The sequence below is a fragment of the Homo sapiens genome, chromosome 17 (genome assembly GCF_000001405.40).
Source record: "Homo sapiens chromosome 17, GRCh38.p14 Primary Assembly".
Lineage (NCBI taxonomy): Eukaryota > Metazoa > Chordata > Mammalia > Primates > Hominidae > Homo > Homo sapiens.
In genome coordinates, this window is record NC_000017.11 from 39,448,161 (window position 1) to 39,469,811 (window position 21,651).

The following is a 21,651-nucleotide window of genomic DNA, read 5'->3' on the forward strand; positions in this document are numbered from 1 at the left end:
AGTTTCACTCTTGATGACCAGGCTGGAGTGTCAAACCCTGTCTCTACCGAAAATACAAAATTAGCCAGATGTGGTGGTGCATGCCTGTAATCCCAGCTACTTGGGAGGCTAAGGGAGGAGAATTGCTTGAATCCAGGAGGCAGAGGTTGCAGTGAGCCGAGATCACACTATTGCACTCCAGCATGGGCAACAGAGCGAAACACTGTCTCAAAAAAAAAAAGAAAGAAAAAAATTAGCCAAGCCTCCTGGCATGTGCCTGTAGTCAGTCCCCAGCTACTCTGGAGGCTGAGGCAGAAGGATCACCTCAGCCTGGGAGGTCGAAGCTTCAGTGATGAGCCTTGATCACACCACTTACTCCATCCTAGGCAACAGAGGGAGACATTGTGTCAAAAAAAAAAAAAAAAAAGTTATTGAACTGGGCTAGAGAGGAAAATTTAAAAAAAAGAAAAAAAATAAATGAAAATGCTGGCTGGGCGGAGTGGCTCACGCCTGTAATCCCAGCACTTTGGGAGGCCAAGGCGGGTGGATCACCTGAGGTTGGGAATTCGAGACCAGCCTGACCAACACGGAGAAACCCCATCTCTACTAAAAATACAAAATTAGCCGGGCTTGGTGGTACATGCCTGTAATCCCAGCTACTCGGAAGGCTGAGGCAGGAGAATCACTTGAACCCAGGAGGCGGAGGTTGCAGTGAGCCCAGATTGCGCCACTGCACTCCAACCTGGGCAACAAGAGCAAAACTCTGTCTCAAATAAATAAATAAATAAATGAAAATGCTAAAAAGACAGCAATGAACAAACTAGACAAAAACTCCTACTTCATGAAGTTTCCATTTTTACACTTGTTGTCTCCTTGCACCCAAGGAGTACATCTTTCTTTTCTTTTTTTTTTTTAAGACAGAGTATCACTCTGTAGCCCCAGCTTGAGTGCACTGGCACAATCAAGGCCTATTGCAGCCTCAACCTCCCATGCTCCAGGATCAAGTGATCCTCCCAGCTCAGCCTTCAGAGTAGCTGAGACTATAGCTAATTTTCCCTTGAAACAGGGTCTCGCTCTGTCGCCCAGGTTACAGTGCAGTGGCATGATTCTGGCTCACTGGAGCCTTGACCTACAGGATTCAGGTAATCCTCCCACCTCAGCCTCCCAAGTAGCTGGGACTACTGGCTTGTGCCACCATGCCTAGCTAATTTTTGTATCTGTTGTAGAGACAGGCTTTTGCCAGGTTGTCTAGGCTGGTCTCCAACTTGTGGGCTCAAGTGATTCGCCCGCTTCGGCCTCCCAAGGTGCTGGGATTACAGCCTTGAGCCACTACCTGGAGCTAATTTTTTATTTTATTTATTTTCAATTTTTTTTCTTTTTTTTTTTTTTTGAGACGGAGTTTTGCTCTTGTTGCCCAGACTGGAGTCCAGTGGCACTATCTTGGCTCACTGCAACCTCCACCTCCCGGGTTTGGGTGATTCTCCTGCCTCAGCCTACCAAGTAGCTGGGATTGCAGGCATGCCACTGTGCCTGGCTAATTTTGTATTTTTAGTAGAGAAAGGGTTTCACCATGTTAGCCAGTCTGGTCTTGAACTCCTAACCTCAGGTGATCCGCCCACCTCAGCCTCCCAAAGTGCTGGGATTACAGGAGTGAGCCACCACACCCGGCCTTTTTTTTTTTTTTTTTTTTTTGAGACGAAGTTTCGCTCTTGTAGCCCAGGTAGGAATGCAATGGCGCAGTCTTGGCTCACCACAACCTCCACCTCCTGGGTTGAAGCAATCCTCCCACCTCAGCCTCCCAGGTAGCTGGGATTACAGGCATTCACCACCACGCCCGGCTAATTTTGTATTTCTAGTAGAGACGGGTTTTCTCCATGTTGGTCAGGCTGGTCTCGATCTCCCAACCTCAGGTGATCCACCCGCCTCAACCTCCCAAAGTGCTGGGATTACACGCGTGAGCCACAGTGCCCGGCAATTTTTTTATTTTTTTTGTAGAGACAGGGCCTCAGTATGTTGCCCAGGCTGGTCGCGAACTCCTGGGCTCCAGGGATCCTCCAGCCGCAGCCTCCCAAAGCGCTGGGATTACAGGTGTGAGTCACTGCTCCCGGCCTCACCTTTCGACCTCTGCTCCAAAACACACTCTTTGTTTTTCTTGAGAAACCTGCTGATAAATATCTGTACTTCGATGCTCCAACACTTTTTGAGCGACTATTACGTGCCAGAAACTATACAAAAATAATCAGGCAAGGACTCTAATCTGCAAAGCTCAGAGGAAACTGGAGAAGATAAACAATAACACAGTTCACTGTATCAACAGAACTATGCCCAAAATGCTAAGGCAGCATCTTAGCCGGAGTGTGGAACTTTAGAAAATCTTAGTAAAGTTCCACAGAAAAGTTGTTTTTCTGCAGTTCGTAGTTCGGTCAATAAAAGAACGAAATTCAGCGCACTTTAAAAATACACAATGGCACAGGATCTGAACACTTGACATTGTAGAGAACTGCTGGCTGCTAATAAATATAAGGACCTAATCATTTCATTGATGCCAAAATAGTCTCCAGTACGTTTACACACAGCCCTAAATTTATTCAGGCGTCTCTTCTGGAACGAGATGTAAGCTGATTTTGTATTCATTTGCCCCGTCTCCCACCACTTTAGGCCAAAAGTGCCCTAGTCGAGCATGAAATCTTCACAGAAGTTGAGAGTCCCCATCGCCCTAAAGTCGAAGCTCTATAATCACCAAGGAGGGTATAGTGACAATCTAAAACTAATACACATTCCCTCTCCTGGACTCTATGCCCCTAAAGTGGCCCCCATGGGACATCTGCAAGAACCTCCTCTCACAAACTGGCTCCCCCAGTTGTGTCCCGCCCCCTCCTTTCCCCTACAGTCACTTACCCTCGGTTTCCCCCTGAGCTTTCATCCTGAAGGCGAGGAGAAGCTAGATCCGCCACAAAAGGATAAGCCCTTCCCCACCACTAACGGAGGAAACAAGTTGGCTCGGGATCCCGGGACGCAGGGCACCAGCAGTCCCTACTCTTCCCGGGAAGGATCAATCTGAAGTCCCCGGCGGCAAGAAGAGAAGGGTGCTCGAGGCCGCCGCCATCTTCCCCAACGGAACTTCCCAAAATTCGCGAGATAAACCGTGGTCCTGCCAGAGAGAGGAAGAGGACAGGGCATCGAAATCTCGCGAATATTGGTCAATGCGTCGGCCTCGCGAGATTTCTTTCAGCGCAGTCTTCCCTTTGATCTGAGCTGTCTCAGGCCTCGCGCCGCTGGATATTAAACCTGCCGGCCGGTAGCTTTCGGCTCCCCTGCGGAAACCGCCATTTTTTTTTTATTTTAGCAGTTAAACAGCTCGCAAATTAAAATCTCCAGATCCCTGTACTGAAAGACTAGCTTTTCTTTTTTTTTTAATTTTTTTTTTTTTTTTTTTGAGATGGAGTCTTGCTCTTGTCGCCCAGGCTGGAGTGCAATGGCACGATGTCGGCTCACTGCAACCTCCGCCTCCCGGGTTCAAGCGATTCTCCTGCCTCAGCCTCCCGAGTAGCTGGGATTACAGGCACCCGCCACCACGCCCAGCTATTTTTAGTAGAGACGGGGTTTCGCCGTGTTGGCCAGGCTGGTCTCGAACTCCTGACCTCGCTGTCCGCCCGCCTCGGCCTCCCAAAGTGCTGGGATTACAGGCATGAGCCACCACACCCGGCCATGACTAGATTTTCAAAGGCTATTGGTATCAGGAGTGTCTTATGAAAGATAAGTTTAACCTGAGATACTAGATGCAATAATTACATCCTAAGAAAGATAGTGGCGCATTGTAACATGACGTTCAAAGCGAGCCTATAGCACAGTTAATTCCCCTTTTCTCATTTTTTTAGTTTCAAAACTATTTCTGGCTAGGCGCAGTGGCTCATGCCTGTAATCCCAGCACTTTGGGAGGCCAAGGTAGGTGGATCATCAGGTCAGGAGTTTGAGACCAGCCTGGCTAACATGGTAAAACTCCGTCTCTACGAAAAATACAAAAATTAGCCAGGTGTGGTGGTGCGCTCCTGTAATCCCAGCTACTCGGGAGGCTGAAGCAGGAGAATCTCTGGAACCCGTGAAGCGAAAGTTGCAGTGAGCAGAGATCGCGTCACTGCACTCCAACCTGGGTGACAGAGTGAGACTGTCTCAAAAAGAAAAAACTGTATCCTTTACTATCCTCAAACTAAGTGTTCTTCACTTAGTAAGCATCTGTGGAGTCCTAATATGTGTATATTTGGAGCTGCTAATACAAACATGAAAACACGGCTGGTCGCGGAGCTACTCAGGAGGCTGAAGCAGGAGAAGCGCTTGAACCTGGGAGGCAGAGGTTGCAGTGAGCCGAGATCATGCTACTGCACTCCAGCCTGGGTGGCAGAGCAAGACTCTGTCTCAGACAAATAAACAAACATGAAAACACAACCCTAGCGCTTGATAGGCTAATCTTATTTAGAGTTCCGAAAATATGATTGGTCACTATAATCATAGGGGCTCAAAATTTTTTCATTAATTATTATGCCCTAAGTACCAATGCCAGATACCCAACTACACTTTATCATGGAAACTCTATACAAATAAAAAAAAAAGTCTGTACTAAGTGTTGCTAGGAAATTTTTAACTTTATAAAGCTTATAAATAAACTTTACTAACTTCTGGTTACAGAATGGAATGAGAAGTTATCATTTGTCATCTGAAAATGCAGATGAGAGACACCATTGGAAAAGTTCTACTCTAGAAGATAAGAGAGCAATGTCCTTTGGGAGGCTGAGGCAGGTACTTGAGATCAGGAGGTCGAGACCAGCCTGGCCAAAATGGTGAAACCCCATTTCTACTAAAAATACAAAAAATTAGCCGGGTGTGGTGACACATGCCTGTAATCCCAGCTACTGGGGAGGCTGAGGCAGGAGAATCGCTTCAATCCGGGAAGTGGAGGTTGCAGTGAGCCAAGATCGTGTCATCGCACTCCAGTCTGGGCAATAAGAGCAAGACGGAGTCTGAAAAAAAAAAAGAAAGCCATGTCATTAAACAAGAAAAGTATTCAAGGTACATATAGGAACAGTATACATAGGAAAATGGGTACAATGGGCAAATTGTAAGTGACTAAGCTTTGAAGGAGGCGCCAAAGGACTCTTTTTTTTTTTTTTTTTTTTTTTTTTTTTTTGAGACAGTGTCTCGCTCTGTCGCCAAGGCTGGAGTGCAGTGGCACAATCTCGGCTCACTGCAACCCCCGCCTCCTGGGTTCAAGCAATTCTTCTGCCTCAGCCTCCCAAGTAGCTGGGACTACAGGTGTATGCCACACCACCCAGCTAATTTTTTTGTATTTTAGTAGAGACAGAGTTTCACTATGTTGCCCAGGCTGGTCTCGAACTTGAGCTCAGGCAATCCACCCACGTTGGCCTCCCAAAGTGTTACGATTACAGGCATGAGCCACTGTGCCCGGCCCAGAGGACTCTAAACCTAAAATCTAAACTAACAAATTGGTTTGTTGGGGAAAAAGAGCTATTGAAACTTTAGTTAAATATTTCTTCTTGTGTACAGCCTAAATGGAAACTTTCTGACTTGTTTTAGTAGATTTGCAGGCTAAGTATTGCCATCACCTGACTGATCACTTGGGGTTCACAGAGTTGCCCTGACTCTCTGCCCTTGAAGGTTATGCAAATAAAGCAAATGGAGCAGTCCTGGAATTTCTGAGTTCAAAGTTTTTCTGTATAATGAAGCAACCCTTATTTTACAAAAGCACAGATTGGATCAATACCTGCAGTTTACAGTAGATATTGTATTTTAAAATTTAGATACAGCCTGAGATTTTCTGCTGCAGAATTTTATTCACCAAAAAGAGGAATACCATGTTAGGGAGATTATCTAAAAGAAAGAGAGAGAGAGAAAGAAAGGAAAAGAAGGAAGGAAGGGAGGGAGGGAGGAAGGAAGGGTAGTTCAATACAAAGTACTGGTTTAGTATGTAGAAGTGAGGTGTCCCGGCTCCAGGCACTTTCTACACTTAAGTGTCAACATGGTCCAATCTAACTCCTTCTCAGTGTCAGTTTAACCTATATTAGATGTCGATAATAAGTGGCTCACGCCTATAATCCCAGCCCTTTGGGAGGCTGAGGTGGGTGGATCACTTAAGGTCAGGAGTTCGAGAACAGCCTAGCCAACATGGCCAAAGTCTGTCTCTACTAATAATACAAAATACAAAATAATACAAAAAAATTAGCCGGGCATGGTGGCGCATGCCTGTAATCCCAGCTATTTGGGAGGCTGAGGCAGGAGAATTGCTTGAACCTGGGAGGTGGAGGTTGCAGTGAGCCAAGATCCTGCCAGTGCACTCCAGCCTAGGCCACAGATTGAAACTGTTCTCAATAAGCATAATAATAATAATAGGCCTGGTGCGGTGTGGTGGCTCATGCCTGTAATCGTGCCACTGCACTCCAGCCTGGGCGACAGAGGGAGACTTAGTCTCAAAAAAAAAAATAAAAATAGTAATAAAAATAACATAATTTCATTAGTTTATTTATTCAATTGAAATTTATTGACGGGATTAAAAGAGTTCCGTGAAAAATTTTAAAGTGCTATAGAAATTCAAGATATTATAAGTTCAAAGTTTCAGGGATAAAGCTTCATTCTTTCATTAGTTACTGGTCTCTAATTGGCTTCAAGAGGCAGTAACAGATAATTTTGAAAGGTTCAGCCAGGTGCAGTGGCTCACGCCTGTAATACAAACACTTTGGGAGGCCGGGGCGAGCAGATCACGAGGTCAGGAGATCAAGACCATCCTGGCCAACACAGTGAAACCCGGTCTCTACTACAAATACAAAAAATTAGCCGGGCATGGTGGCAGGCACCCGTAATCCCAGCCATTTGGGAGGCTGAGATAGGAGAATGGTGTGAATCCGGGAGGCGGAGCTTGCAGTGAGCCGAGATCGAGGCGAAGCTTGCAGCGAGACGAGATCGCACCACTGCACTCCAACCTAGGTGACAGAGTGAGACTCCGTCTCAAAAAAAGAAAAAAAGTTTCTGCTGGTGTTTAATCTGGATAATCAATTTAATTCTTCCAGATTTTGACACATCACCGATGCCTTCTGTCGTCTTCACTTTTCCATTCTACTGTGGGTACATCGTGAATTAAAAACTTGATCTCAGCCAGGCACAGTGGCTTGCACCTGTAATCCCAGCACTTTGTGAGGCCAAGGCGGGGGGTGATCACAAGGTCAGGAGTTCAAGACCAGCCTGGCCAAGATGGTGAAACCACGTCTCTATTAAAAATTAAAAAAAAATCATCTGAACATGGTGGCAGGCGCCTGTAATCCCAGCTACTGAGAAGGCTGAGGCAGAGAATTGCTTGAACCTGGGAGGCGGAGGTTGCAGTGAGCCGAGATGAAGCCATTGCACTCCAGCCTAGGCAACAGAGGGAGACTCCATCCCAAAAAAAAGGCCAGGCATGGTGGCTCACACCTGTAATCCCAGCCCTTTGGGAGGCCAAGGCGGGTGGATCATGAGGTCAGGAGTTCAAGACCAGCCTGATCAACATGGTGAAACCCCGTCTCTACTAAACATACAAAAATTAGCCAGGCATGGTGGCGTGTGCCTGTAATCCCAGCTACTAAGAAGGCTGAGGCAGGAGGATCGCTTGAATCAGAGAGGCAGAGGTTGCAGTGAGCCAAGATAGTGCCACCGCACTCCAGCCTGGCAACGGAGCAAGACTCCATCTCAAAAAAAGAAATTAAAAATAAAAACCTGATCTCATTTAAAAGACAGAAAAATCAGGGTGAATTTTATTGAACTCATGACAACAAACCCATGCCAACACTTACTATGGCTGACTGGTCACTACATTTAATCAGCCCAGGAAGTCTCATGCCATCTGTCATCATGTAAAACATTCAAGGCCAGACACAGTGGCCCATGCCTGTATTCCGAGCATCTTGGGAGTCCAGGTGGGAGGATCCCTTGAGCCGAGGACTTCAAGAGCAGCCTGGGCAACATAGCAAGACCCCGTCTTTACAAAAAATAAAAAAAAAATTAGCCAGGCTCTGTGGCTTACACCTGTAATCCCAGCCAGGAGAGGCTGAGGCTGGAGGATTGCTTGAGCTCAGGAAGTGAAGATGGCAGTGTGTCAGCCGGACACAGTGGTTCACACCTGTAATCCCAGCCCTTTGGGAGGCCAAGGTGGGTGGATCACCTGAGGTCAGGAGTTCGAGACCAGCCTAGCCACATGGCGAAACCCCATCTCTACTAAAAATACAAAAATGAGCCGGGCATGGTGGCAGGCGCCTGTAATCCCAGCTACTCAGGAGGCTGAGGCAGGAGAATCACTTGAACCCAGGAGGTGGAGCTTGCACTGAGCCGAGATCGTGCCATTGCACTCCAGCCTGGGGGACAAGAGCGAGACTTCATCTCAAAAAAAAAAAAAAAAAGACTGCAGTGTGTCATGGTCATACCACTGTACTCCAGCCTGGGCAACAGAGCAAGACCTTGTCTCAAGAAAATAAATCCAGGTTGTCCTGGCAACACTGTACTCCAGCCTGGGCAGCACAGCAAGACCTTGTCTCAAGAAAATATATCCAGGGTGTCCTATCCTCCTATAGCGGTGAATAAGGAGTGTTCACAACTGAGTTCCAGTACTTGTGTTTTTCTTTTCTTTTCTTTTTTTTTTTTTTTTTTGGAGACAGTTTCACTCTTGTTGCCCAGGCTGAGTGCAATGGCACCATCTCATCTCACCGCAACCTCCACCTCCCGGGTTCAAGCAATTCTCCTGCCTCAGCCTCCCTAGTAGCTGAGATTACAGGCATGTGCCACCACGCTGGGCTAATTTTTGTATTTTTAGTAGAGACGGGGTTTCTTCTTGTTGGTCAGGCTGGTCTTGAACTCCTGACCTCAGGTGATCTGCTTGCCTCGGCCTCCCAAAGTACTGGGATTACAGGCGTGAGCCTCCATGCCTGGCCCGTGTTTTTCTTTTTTCTTTTCTTTTTTGAGGCAGGTTCTTGTTCTGTTACCCAGGCTGGAGTGCAGTGGCATGATCATGGCTCATTGCAGCCTTGACCTCCTGGGCTCAAGTGATCCTCCCATCTCAGCCTCATAGTAGCTGGGACTATAGGCAAGCAACACCATGCCTGGTTAATTTCTTGTTTTTGTTTGTTTGTTTTTGGTAGGGACGGAGTCTCGCTCTGTCGCCCAGGCTGGAGTGCAGTGGCGTGATCTTGGCTCACTGCAAGCTCTGCCTCCTGGGTTCAAGCAATTCTCCTGCCTCAGCCTCCCGAATAGCTGAGAATACAGGCCCACACCACTACGCCTGGCTAATTTTTTTTTTTTTTTTTGAGACAGAGTTTCTCTTTTGTTGCACAGGCTGGAGTGCGATGGCCCAATCTCGGCTCACTGCAACCTCCGCCTCCTGCGTTCAAGCGATTCTCCTGCCTCAGCCTCCCGAGTAGCTGGGATTACAAGCATGGGCCACCATGCCCAGCTAATTTTTTAGTATTTTTAATAGAGACGGGGTTTCTCCATGTTGGTCGGGCTGGTCTCGAACTCCCGACCTCAGGTGATCCGCCCGCCTCAGCCTCCCAAAGTGCTGGGATTACAGGCGTGAGCCACCAAGCCCGGCGGCTAATTTCTTTTGTATTTTAGTAGAGATGGGGTTTTACCGTGTTGCCCAGGCTGGTCTCAAACTCCTGAACTCAGGCAATTTGCCTGCCTCGGCCTCCCAAATTGCTGGGATTACAGGCATGAGCCACCTTGCTCGGCCTGTCATTTCTTGTATTTTTTTGTAGAGACAGATGTCTCAACATGTTGCCCAGGCTGGTCTCCAATTTCTGGGCTCACGAATTCCTTCCATGTTGGCCTTCCAAATTGTTGGTTTTACAGATGTCAGCCACCACACTCAGCCCTTTTTTCTTTTTGTTAGCCACTTTTTTTTTTTTTTAGATGGATTCTCACTCTGTTGCCCAGGTTGGAATGCAGTGGTGCAATCTTAGCTCACTGCAACCTCTGCCTCCCAGGTTCTAGTGATTCTCATGCCTCAGCCTCCTGAGTAGCTGGAATTACAGGCATATGCCACCATGCCTGGCTAATTTTTGTGTGTGTGTATATATAAATATATATATATTTTTTTGTTGTTTGTTTGTTTGTTTTTGAAACAGAGTCTTGCTCTGTCACCCAGGCTGGAGCGCAGTGGCACGATCTTGGCTCACTGCAACTTCTGCGTTCTGGGTTCAAGCGATTCTCCTGTCTCAACCTCCTGAATATCTGTGATTACAGGCGATCACCACCACGCCTGACTAATTTTTGTATTTTTAGTAGAGATAGGATTTCACTGTGTTGGCCAGGCTGGTCTTGAACTGCTGACCTCAAGTGGTCCTCCCACTTCGGCCTCCCAAAGTGCTGGGATTACAGGCATGAGCCACAGTGCTTGGCCTCTAATTTTTTTTTTTTTTGAGGCAGAGTCTTGCTCTGTTGCCCAGGCTGGAGTGCAGTAGCGTGATCTCCCCTCACTGCAATCTCTGCCTCCCAGTAGCGTGATCTCCCCTCACTGCAATCTCTGCCTCCCGGGTTCACACCATTCTCCTGCTTCAGCCTCCTGAGTAGCTGCGACTACAGGCACCCGCCACCACGCCCAGCTAATTTTTTTGTATTTTTAGTAGAGACGGGGTTTCACCGTGTTAGCCAGGATGGTCTCGATCTCCTGACCTCCTGATCTGCCCGCCTCGGCTCCCAAAGTGCTGGGGTTACAGGAGTGAGCCACTGCGCCCGGCCTATTTTTGTATTTTTAGTAGAAACAGGGTTTCACTGCATTGGCCAGGCTGGTCTTACTCCTGACCTCAAATGATCCTCCCCTCTTGGCCTCCCAAAGTGCTGGGATTACAGGCATGAGCCACTGCTCCCAGCCACTTCTTTTTTCTTGATAGCATTAATTTTACTTCCATAGAAGATCAAAAAGTTGTCGTGGAAAACTTGGTCTTTTTATTTTTTAAATTTTTTTATTATTTACTTATTTATTTTGAGACGGAGTCTTGCTCTGTTGCCAGGCTGGAGTGCAGTGGCGCGATCTCGGCTCGCTGCAACCTCTGCCTCCAGGGTTCAACCTCTGCCTCAGCCTCACGAGTAGCTGGGACTGCAGGTGTGTGCCACCAAGCCCAGCTAATTTTTGTGTTTTTAGTAGAGACGGGGTTTCCCCATGTTGGCCAGGATCGTCTCCATCTCTTGACCTTGTGATCTGCCCACCTTGGCCTCCCAAAGTGCTGGGATTACAGGAGTGAGCCACTGTGCCTGGCCTGATCTTTTTATTTTAGAACCAATATTTATGGACTCAATCATTTAGAGACGGCGGGCGTGGTGGCTCACGCCTGTAATCCTAACACTTTGGGGGCCAAAGTGGATGGAATGCTTGAGCCCAGGCATCTGAGGTCAGACTCGGCAACATAGCCAGCCCTCCATCTCTACAAAAAAATAAAAATAAAAATTAGCTGGGCTGGTGGCCTGTGGCTGTAGTCTCAGCTACTCAGGAGGCTGAGATGGGAGGATCACCTGAGCCCATGAGGGGAAGGCTACAGTGAGTTATGATTGTGCCACTGCACTCCAGCCTGGGCGACAGAGCGAGACCCTTCACACACACACACAAAATTAGGTTAAAAAAAAAAAATGTTTTGGATCGCCCTGTGAGCAAAAGGAACAAGAACATTTACAGAGAGTGATTTTTGAGAATTGAGACTACCTTAATTCAGAATGTTTTCTGGTCCTGAATTTACCAGCTGAACTTCTCCGTTTTGGACAAGCCCCTTCATTTCTCCATGCCTTAGTTTTCTCACTTATACAACCTATTTCAGAGGACTGTTGTGAAGATGGAATGACTTAAGGTAGGCGAAAGTTTTTTAAAAAGTAATAAATGAGGGGCCAGTGTAAGATAGTGTTATTTTCTTGTTAATTAATACTATGCTTTTCTTGTTCATATTATAATCTTTTGTATGAGGATGAAAGGCTAAATTATCCAATAACGGCCATGGGAGGATCTCAAGATGGGATGAGCTTTTAGGTTCTGAGATTTGAAGCAAAGATTGGTAAGGAGACAACACCATAGGATGGAAGAGCTTGTGTTTTAGTCTCAGAAAGACATGAATTTGAATGTTGACTGTGGCACTTGTTGGACCAAATTATTCAACTTCCCTGAGGCTGGGATTCCTTTTCTATAAAACAGGGATGAAAATCTCGTGTTTTGCAGGATAATTGTGAAAATTAGAGATAATGTATGTAAAATTCTTGGCAGGTAGCACACACCCTATATGTGGGAAGCACTGTTAAAACACTCAGGGACTTGGGTTGAAATGTCCCGACATTTGTCTTTTGCTCTGTAAAAAATAATCTCAACCGGGCGCGGTGGCTCAAGCCTGTAATCCCGCCACTTTGGGAGGACCAGACGGGCAGATTGCTTCATTCTAGGAGTTCAAGACCAAGGATCGCGGATTGCTTGAGTCTAGGAGTTCGAGACTAGCCTGGGCAACATGGCGAAACCCCATCACTACGAATAATAGAAACAAATTAGCACGGCGTGGTGGCGCGACTCTATAGTTCCAAGTACTCGGCAGGATGAGGTGGGAGGATTGCTTGAGCCCAGGAGGTGGAGGCTGCAGTGAGCCGAGATCGTGCCACTGCACTCCAGTCTGGGCAAAAGAGAGAGAACTTGTCTCAAACAAACAAAAAAATGGCCCGGCGCGGCGGTTCACGCCTGTAATCCTAGCACTTTGGGAGGCCGAGGCGGGAGGATCACTTGAGGTCAGGAGGTCGAGACCAGCCTGGCCAACATGGTGAAACCCTGTCTCTACTAAAAACAAAAAAGTTAGCCGGGCGTGGTGGCGGGCGCCTGTAATCCCAGCTACTCGGGAGGCTGAGGCAGGAGAATCGCTTGAACCCAGGAGGTGGAGGTTGCAGTGAGCCGAGATCGCGCCACTAACACTCCAGGATGGGCTACAGAGCGAGACTCCGTCTCAAAGGAAAACAAAAAACAAACAAAAAAAAGTCATCCTGGTAGTTAAAAGATTTGTTAAAAAGGATGTTGAAATTATTTTGTCACGGAGCCTGGGAGTGTTTGTTTAATCAGTTACCGATAAAGTTTTGGTTAAAAAAAAAAAACTCGGTTTGTTCCGTTTCAATAAAGCTTTGCTCAAACGGGGAGCTCCGGGAGCTCATCGCGAGACTCAGGTGAAACGCGTTTCTAGTTTGGGACCTGATCTCGCGTTGTTTGATAAGCAGGGGAATGAGGTGAAAGCGAAGCACGAAACATCGCGAGAGGCTACTGGACTCTCGCGACGATTTCTGGGATTGCCCCTCCCCCCTTCCCCAAGTGCCGTTTCGGTTTAATCTAGTGTGTGACTGGGTCTGTGTGAGGGAGAGAGTGTGTGTGGTGTGGAGGTGAAACGGAGGCAAGAAAGGGGGCTACCTCAGGAGCGAGGGACAAAGGGGGCGTGAGGCACCTAGGCCGCGGCACCCCGGCGACAGGAAGCCGTCCTGAACCGGGCTACCGGGTAGGGGAAGGGCCCGCGTAGTCCTCGCAGGGCCCCAGAGCTGGAGTCGGCTCCACAGCCCCGGGCCGTCGGCTTCTCACTTCCTGGACCTCCCCGGCGCCCGGGCCTGAGGACTGGCTCGGCGGAGGGAGAAGAGGAAACAGACTTGAGCAGCTCCCCGTTGTCTCGCAACTCCACTGCCGAGGAACTCTCATTTCTTCCCTCGCTCCTTCACCCCCCACCTCATGTAGAAGGGTGCTGAGGCGTCGGGAGGGAGGAGGAGCCTGGGCTACCGTCCCTGCCCTCCCCACCCCCTTCCCGGGGCGCTTTGGTGGGCGTGGAGTTGGGGTTGGGGGGGTGGGTGGGGGTTGCTTTTTGGAGTGCTGGGGAACTTTTTTCCCTTCTTCAGGTCAGGGGAAAGGGAATGCCCAATTCAGAGAGACATGGGGGCAAGAAGGACGGGAGTGGAGGAGCTTCTGGAACTTTGCAGCCGTCATCGGGAGGCGGCAGCTCTAACAGCAGAGAGCGTCACCGCTTGGTATCGAAGCACAAGCGGCATAAGTCCAAACACTCCAAAGACATGGGGTTGGTGACCCCCGAAGCAGCATCCCTGGGCACAGTTATCAAACCTTTGGTGGAGTATGATGATATCAGCTCTGATTCCGACACCTTCTCCGATGACATGGCCTTCAAACTAGACCGAAGGGAGAACGACGAACGTCGTGGATCAGATCGGAGCGACCGCCTGCACAAACATCGTCACCACCAGCACAGGCGTTCCCGGGACTTACTAAAAGCTAAACAGACCGAAAAAGAAAAAAGCCAAGAAGTCTCCAGCAAGTCGGGATCGATGAAGGACCGGATATCGGGAAGTTCAAAGCGTTCGAATGAGGAGACTGATGACTATGGGAAGGCGCAGGTAGCCAAAAGCAGCAGCAAGGAATCCAGGTCATCCAAGCTCCACAAGGAGAAGACCAGGAAAGAACGGGAGCTGAAGTCTGGGCACAAAGACCGGAGTAAAAGTCATCGAAAAAGGGAAACACCCAAAAGTTACAAAACAGTGGACAGCCCAAAACGGAGATCCAGGAGCCCCCACAGGAAGTGGTCTGACAGCTCCAAACAAGATGATAGCCCCTCGGGAGCTTCTTATGGCCAAGATTATGACCTTAGTCCCTCACGATCTCATACCTCGAGCAATTATGACTCCTACAAGAAAAGTCCTGGAAGTACCTCGAGAAGGCAGTCGGTCAGTCCCCCTTACAAGGAGCCTTCGGCCTACCAGTCCAGCACCCGGTCACCGAGCCCCTACAGTAGGCGACAGAGATCTGTCAGTCCCTATAGCAGGAGACGGTCGTCCAGCTACGAAAGAAGTGGCTCTTACAGCGGGCGATCGCCCAGTCCCTATGGTCGAAGGCGGTCCAGCAGCCCTTTCCTGAGCAAGCGGTCTCTGAGTCGGAGTCCACTCCCCAGGTGAGCTATTTGTCTAACAGTCCTTCCTCATTTAGGGTGGGTTGCGAGGAATTGGCATTCAGCGTGTTAACATTGTCTGGAAGCCCGCAGTGTTCATCATTGACTAGAACACTTTGCTGTTGGCTAGTCATTCCAGTGTGTGAATCTGTCTCCCCTTAACCCAGAATTCGAGAAGTGAAGAGTACATAGGCCTCAAACCGCCAAAGGTAGGTACTTCCAGTGGTGGGGTCTTCAGTTGTAAGCTTCTGAGTGAGAAACGTCAAAGGCTTCTGCTTAGTGAGTGGATGGAGTTGATACTAGTTCCCAGAGCATGTCTAGCTATTTCTGTTGCTTAGTTTTATATTTTTAAAAATCACATTGGTATTTGTGCTTTAGACTCTATGGGACCTGGTTGAAGACTTAAGAAATTGGTATGGAAGTTACTTGCCTAGTTTATCCTATTTGTGTTGTCCACTGAATCCCCAAACCTGTACATTTATTCATTTCCTACTTGGCACTGTTTTAATTATTTACAAAAGATTCCTGTCTTTTAACTGATGTTTTAGTGGAAATTCAGCTGATTAGTCTGTTACCCTTTTAATGGTATAACCTAGCAGAAATTGGTTCCAAGGACAATTTGGTTTTCTTTACAGCATCATCACTGACCTACCTTGTGACCGCTGACAATTTTCAAAATCTTTCTCTAAAACACATAGTAATAATGCCTTCTTTATATTTTTGCGAGAAAGGCATGCTAGTTTGAAATTTTGTTGTTAGAGTGAATTATTTGGAAAACTGTGTTCTTGTTCCTAGGTAATGAGATGTATCTCCTTTGTGGCCTCACTTCTGTTCACAAAAACAGAATGTGGGCTTTAGTTAGACCTTTGTGGAATCCTAATGTTGCTTTGTGACCTTTAGCAAATGAGTTAATTTCTCCTTGCCTGAGTTGCTTCAGGTGTAAAATGGGAATAATAAATACCTACTTTTAAGGGTTGTGATGATTAAATTAGTCAATTTGAAGTGCATAGCACAGTGCCTTGTACATAATATCACTCAGTAAATTATGAGTGAGGATGTTGAACACTGGTAGAGAAATTGTGCTAATTTGAAAAAAATTCATGCATGACTTTTTTTTTTTTTGAAAGACAAGATCTTGCCCTGTTGCCTAGGCTGGAGTGCAGTGGCATCATCTTGGCTCACTGCAGCCTTGACTTCCCAGGCTCAAGCAATCCGTCCACCTCAGCCTCCTGAGTAGCTGGGATTACAGGTTCATGCCACCATGCCTGGCTAATTTTTTTTTTCTTTTTCTTTTTTTTTTTTGTAGAGACTGGGTTTTGCCCTGTTGCCCAGGATGGTCTTGAACTCCTGAGCTCAAGCAATCCTCCTGCCTCCCAAAGTGCTGGGATTACAGGCATGAGCCACCACGCCTGGCTCATGCATGGCTTTTGTATTTCAGTGTAATTTTTGCTGACTTAAAGTTACAATTCATAAATGGTGTGAGTACATCAAGCTGCAGAGTGTTCCTAGCTGTCAAGGGCTGGAGTTCTTAATGTTTCCTCCTCCATTTTATTATAAAAAATTTTCCAGCACAGAAAGGTTGTAGTGAACACCCATATATGTAACAGCAAGATTCTACAATAAATATTTGCTGTATCCAGGCTGGGCAACATAGTGAGGCCCCGTTCTCTACAGGAAAAAAAAAAAAATTAGCTGGTCGCGGTGGTGCACATCTGTAGTCCCCACTGCCTGGGAGGCTGAGGTGGGAGGATTGCTTGAGCCTAGGAAGTCAAGGCTGCAGTGAGCTGTGATCACACCACTGCACTCCAGCCTGAGCAACAGAGTGAGACCCTGTCTCAAAAAAAAAAAAAATTGGGCCAGGAGTGGCTCACACCTGTAATCTCAGCACTTTGGGAGGCCGAGGTGGGCGGATCACGAGGTAGGGAGTTTGAGACCAGCGTGGCCAATGTGGTGAAATGCTGTCTCTATAAAAATATAAAAAATTAGTTGGGTGTGGTGGCGTGCGCCTGTAGTCCCAGCTACTCGGAAGGCTGAGGCAGGAGAATCAGTTGAGCCCGGGAGGCAGAGGTTGCAGTGAGCTGAGATCGTGCCATTGCACTCCAGCCTAGGTGACAGAGACAGAGTAAGACTCAGTCTTAAAAAAAAAAAAAAAAAAGCCATGTATTTTGTAATCTATCTACCTGTCCATTAATCTATCTTTTATTTTCATTTATTTCAAAGTAAGTTGTAGACATCAGTATACTTCATTCTAAACACTTTAACATGTTTACCATTAGCTGGATTACCCTTTTTTTTTTTTTGGAGGGGTGAGGAGTAAAATTTATATACAGTAAAATGCCTAAGTCTTAAGTGTAGCATTTGTAAAGCTGCTTTGTTTTTTGTTTTTTTTTGAGACAGAGTCTTGTTTTGTTGCCCAGGCTGGAGTGCAGTGGAGCGATCTCGGTTCACTGCAACCTCTGCCTCTCGGGTTCAAGCTATTCTCCTGCCTCAGCCTCCTGAGAGTAGCTGGAATTACAAGCGCCCACCATCACATCTGGCTAATTTTTGTGTTTTTTTAGTAGAGACAGGGCTTTACCATGTTGGCCAGGTTGGTCTCCAACTCCTGACCTCAGGTGATCCGCCAGCCTCGGCCTCCTAAAGTGCTGGGATTACAGGCGTGAGCCAATGCGCACAGCCATGCTGCTTAGTGTTTTAAGGAAGTCTAAAAAGTATTCTTAGGATATTTGTTTCTTGATAGAGTAGTTCATTAAGGCTGTAAAAATTGTTAACTTTAGGGTATGGGAATAGAGAAGAGTGTGCTAAGACTAAAACACTAAAAGGAGTTTCAGTAAGAAGTGCTTCTTTCTAGTGATTCCTTTTGGATTCTTAGGTAAAACAGCATATCTCATGTTCTCTTAAGAGAGTAGAGGAGGCTGGGCGTGGTGGCTTATGCCTATAATCCCAAGCACTTTGGGAGGCCAAGGCGGGCAGATCTCCTGAGGTCAGGAGTTTGAGACCAGCCTGGCCAGCGTGGTGAAACCCCGTCCCTACTAAAAATACAAAAATTAGCCAGGCGTGGTGGCATGCACCTATAATCCCAGCTACTCGGGAGGCTGAGGCAGGAGAATCGCTTGAACCTGGGAGGCAGAGGTTATAGTGAGCCAAAGTCACGCCACTGCACTCCAGCCTGGGCGACAGAATGAGACTGCGTCTCAAAAAAAAAAAAAAAGAAAGAAAAAGGCCAGGCGCAGTGGATCACGCCTGTAATCCTAGCACTTTGGGAGGCTGAGGCAGGCGGATCACCTGAGGTCGGGAGTTCGAGACCAGCCTGACCAACATGGAGAAACCCTTTCTCTACTAAAAATACAAAATTAGCTGGGCGTGGTGTCACATGCCTGTAATCCCAGCTACTTGGGAGGCTGAGGCAGGAGAATTGCTTGAACCCAGGAGGAGGAGGTTGAGGTGAGCCGCGATTGCAATAATTGCACTCCATCCTGGGCAACAAGAGTGAAACTCTATCTGAAAAAAAAAAAAAAAAAAAAAAAAAAAAAAAAAAAAAAAAGCAGATGAATCTCTACTCACATAATTTAGTCAGTAATGGTAAAAATAAGTTTAGAAAAAATTGGAGACACAATATGGTAGCGTAGCATGCAAATATAAACATATAATATTCCCAGAGACACATGCACGCTTTTAGTTGGCTTATAGAGAGCATTATATGTTTGTATGTGTGCATTACATGTTTTTCTTCATTGATTGAAATTCTAAACAGTACAAAAATTTTGTAGAGTCAGAGGAACATATAGATCCCTTCTATGATATTCTCTTGTGTTTTTTTCCTTGGGAGACAGTCAAAATGAAATAAGCAACATTTTATTTTATTTTATTTTATTTTATTTTTTTAATTTGAGACAGAGTTTCTGTCGCCAGGCTGGAGTGCAGTGGTGCGATCTCAGCTCACTGCAACCTCCGCCTCCCAGGTTCAAGCGATTCTCCTGCCTCAGCCTCCCAAGTAGCTGGGACTACAGGCGCGCGTCACCATGCCCAGCTAATTTTTGTATTTTTAGTAGAGACGGGGTTTCACCATGTTGGCCAGGATGGTCTTGATCTCTTGACCTCAGGATCTGCCTGCCTCAGCCTCCCAAAGCGCTGGGATTACAGGCATGAGCCACCATGCCCGGCGAAACAACCTAATTTTAAAAGACTGAAAATGCTTTGGCAGAAATGCAGTGTCTTTGCATCCGCTAGATTAGCAATGATTAATAGTTGAGTGGAACCTAACTTAATTCGGTGAGTGGGGGGGAAATACATTTGTTTTTGAAGACATTTCTTGAAGACACATTGCTTATTGCTGGCTGTGTTTACCTATTTGTTGTCTACTCCTCCGCTTTTTTCTAGAAGAGTGAACCTGGAACTTAAATGTAGCATTTGTATCACTAAAAATACCACAAGTATATGGCCATCCAAATCTGTTAACAGTAGGCTTCTGTGAGAAATTGAAGGGTTTCTAACAGACTTCCTTAGGAAGATTTGGTCATGCTGACTAAAACAGTAGTACTTGGTAGCTAGCTGGCATTAGTGTTTTGGGTTTTACATGTTTTCCCTGGGATAGAGATGTTACTTAGCTGTATTTCAAGCAGAGAAAAACTCTTGTTTCAGCCAAATATGTACAGAAGGAATGTTAGTTTTCTTAAGGGTAAGTGCATATTTGGTCAATATCAGTACCTTTCAGTATTTTATATTCTCATGTTCATGTTTGCGTTGTTGTTTTTTAGTCCTATTGATTCCAACAATATTTTTAGTTTTGTTTTTTTTTTTGAGATGGAGTGTCTCTCTGTCACCCAGGCTGGAGTGCAGTGGCGTGATCTTGGCTTACTGCAACCTCCGCCTCCCGGGTTCAAGCAATTCTCCTGCCTTAGCCTCCCGAGCAGCTGGGATTACAGGCGCACACCACCATGCCCGGCTAATTTTTTTGTATTTTTAGTAGAGCTGGGATTTCACCATATTGGTCAGGCTGGTCTCAAACTCTTGATCAGGGTGATCCACCCGCCTCAGCCTCCCAAAATGCTGGGATTACAGGCGTGAGCCACCGCGCCCAGCTTCCAATAATAATTTTATATTTTAACTGACTTTTGGAAGCAAACTTGCAAGAAGCAGTATAGGTAAAAGAAAATCATCGCTGCCATTATGCAAGTTGTTTCCCTTACACATATATGTTGTTTTGAAACATTTTGGTTCATGTCAGTCTTACTATATGTCAGTCTTACCATATCTCCCTGATCAAAGATAAAGGAAGATGTGATGATCTAGAATGGAAGCAATTTGTTTTAGACTACTGGGAAAATTTTGTTTTGTCCAATTATGCTTTTAATATTTTTATTTTATTTATTTATTTTTTTGAGACGGAGTTTCACTCTTGTTGCCCAGGCTGGAGTGCATTGGCACAATCTCAGCTTACCACAACCTCTGCCTCCCAGGTTCAAGCGGTTCTCCTGCTTCAGCCTCCCGAGTAGCTGGGATTACAGGCATGCATCACCATGCCCGGCTAATTTTGTATTTTTAGTAGAGACAGGGTTTCTCCATATTGGTCAGGCTGGTCTCGAACTCCCGAACTCAGGTAATCCGCCTGCCTCAGCCTCCGAAAGTGTTGGGATTACAGGCGTGAGCCACAGTGCCCGGCACTTTTAATGTTTTTATTTTAATTAATTAATTAATTTATTTATTTATTTATTTATTTTGAGACAGATTTTCGCTCTGTCGCCAGCCTGGAGTGCAGTGGCGCAATCTCTGCTCACTGCAACCTTGGCTTACTGCAACCTCCGCCTCCTGGGTTCAAGTGATTCTCCTCCCTCAGCCTCCCAAGTAGCTGGGAATACAAGCATGTACCACCACACCCAGCTAATTTTTGTATTTTTAGTAGATACAGGGTTTTACCATGTTGGCCAGGATGGTCTTGATCTCCTGACCTCGTGATCTGCTGCCTCGGCCTCCCGAAGTGCTGGGATTACAGGCGTGAGCCACAGCACCCGGCCTTTGTTGGTTTTTTGTTTTGTCACACATTGAGGCCTTAGCAGGTTAGGCTTTAGTAAAAAGTCATGAGAATTAATGACATTTGGGTTTCAACTTAAAATGATCTGCCCCATAGATTCCCAGATTTTATTTCCAAAGCCTTTCTTAAGAAGACAATTAATTAAACATGCAATAATATCTTTAGGAGTTTCTAAAAAGTCTATTGGAAATCATTTTATAATAAAGATATTAGGAGCCCTCATGTTTTTGAAACGTTCTAAAAGTTATTTTGGTAAATCATTTTCTCCACTTTATTTGTTTTGTAAATCCTAAGCCTTATGTGTTGGGAATTTGTTTAGTACTTTATTTTAAACTTTACAACTTTATTATAAACTGAGGATGCAAGGAACAACATATTTTTCTGGGCTCTGCCATTTAACTCTCTAGCTAACAAATTTAGGTTTTGGTGAAGCATGCTTGTTGCTTTTAACTTCCTGATGGATATAACCCACCTTTACTATGGAGTATGACTTCTTTTTTTTTTTTTTTTTTGAGACGGAATTTTGCTGTTGTTGCCCAGGCTGGAGTGCAGTGGCACAATCTCGGCTCACCGTAACCTCTGCCTCCTGGGTTCAAGCGATTCTCCTGCCTCAGCCTCCCAAGTAGCTGGGATTACAGGCGCCCACCACAACGCCTGGCTAATTTTGTA

The 21,651-nt window shown here is 46.3% G+C and overlaps 2 protein-coding genes across 52 annotated transcripts in view, besides 6 other annotated features; one reads left to right on the forward strand and one right to left on the reverse strand.

Annotated features, from left to right (window-relative positions):
- The window catches only part of MED1 (mediator complex subunit 1), a 46,979-nt gene extending 43,876 nt beyond the window's left edge, over positions 1 to 3,103 (reverse strand). For both annotated transcript variants that reach the window (XM_006721957.3, NM_004774.4), the window contains exon 1: positions 2,878 to 3,103. In XM_006721957.3, coding sequence (XP_006722020.1) covers positions 2,878 to 2,902 — 25 coding nt within the window. In that variant the 5' untranslated portion in view covers positions 2,903 to 3,103. The remainder of the gene's footprint in view (positions 1 to 2,877) is intronic.
- Positions 13,103 to 14,027: an enhancer, noted in NCBI's record as "NANOG-H3K27ac-H3K4me1 hESC enhancer chr17:37617516-37618440 (GRCh37/hg19 assembly coordinates)". NCBI's record gives its function as "activates a minimal SCP1, AML or CMV promoter by ChIP-STARR-seq in naive H9 embryonic stem cells {active_cell/tissue: H9 hESC(naive)}" and the evidence as "EXISTENCE:reporter gene assay evidence [ECO:0000049][PMID:30033119]".
- Positions 13,103 to 14,952: a biological region, named in NCBI's record as "CDK7 strongly-dependent group 2 enhancer GRCh37_chr17:37618166-37619365".
- Positions 13,326 to 21,651, forward strand: part of CDK12 (cyclin dependent kinase 12) — a 106,074-nt gene continuing 97,748 nt past the window's right edge. For all 50 annotated transcript variants that reach the window (XM_047436256.1, XM_047436261.1, XM_047436260.1 and 47 more), the window contains exon 1: positions 13,326 to 14,957. In XM_047436256.1, the coding sequence (XP_047292212.1) occupies positions 13,912 to 14,957 (1,046 nt within the window). In that variant the 5' untranslated portion in view covers positions 13,326 to 13,911. The remainder of the gene's footprint in view (positions 14,958 to 21,651) is intronic.
- Positions 13,388 to 13,437: an enhancer, noted in NCBI's record as "active region_12094". NCBI's record gives its function as "activates an Ori minimal core promoter by ATAC-STARR-seq in GM12878 lymphoblastoid cells {active_cell/tissue: GM12878}" and the evidence as "EXISTENCE:reporter gene assay evidence [ECO:0000049][PMID:35858748]".
- Positions 13,528 to 13,587: an enhancer, noted in NCBI's record as "active region_12095". NCBI's record gives its function as "activates an Ori minimal core promoter by ATAC-STARR-seq in GM12878 lymphoblastoid cells {active_cell/tissue: GM12878}" and the evidence as "EXISTENCE:reporter gene assay evidence [ECO:0000049][PMID:35858748]".
- Positions 13,753 to 14,952: an enhancer, noted in NCBI's record as "CDK7 strongly-dependent group 2 enhancer chr17:37618166-37619365 (GRCh37/hg19 assembly coordinates)". NCBI's record gives its function as "activates an origin of replication core promoter dependent on BRD2, BRD4, P300/CBP, MED14 and CDK7 cofactors, with strong dependence on CDK7, by STARR-seq in HCT116 cells {active_cell/tissue: HCT116}" and the evidence as "EXISTENCE:reporter gene assay evidence [ECO:0000049][PMID:35650434]".
- Positions 13,978 to 14,107: an enhancer, noted in NCBI's record as "active region_12096". NCBI's record gives its function as "activates an Ori minimal core promoter by ATAC-STARR-seq in GM12878 lymphoblastoid cells {active_cell/tissue: GM12878}" and the evidence as "EXISTENCE:reporter gene assay evidence [ECO:0000049][PMID:35858748]".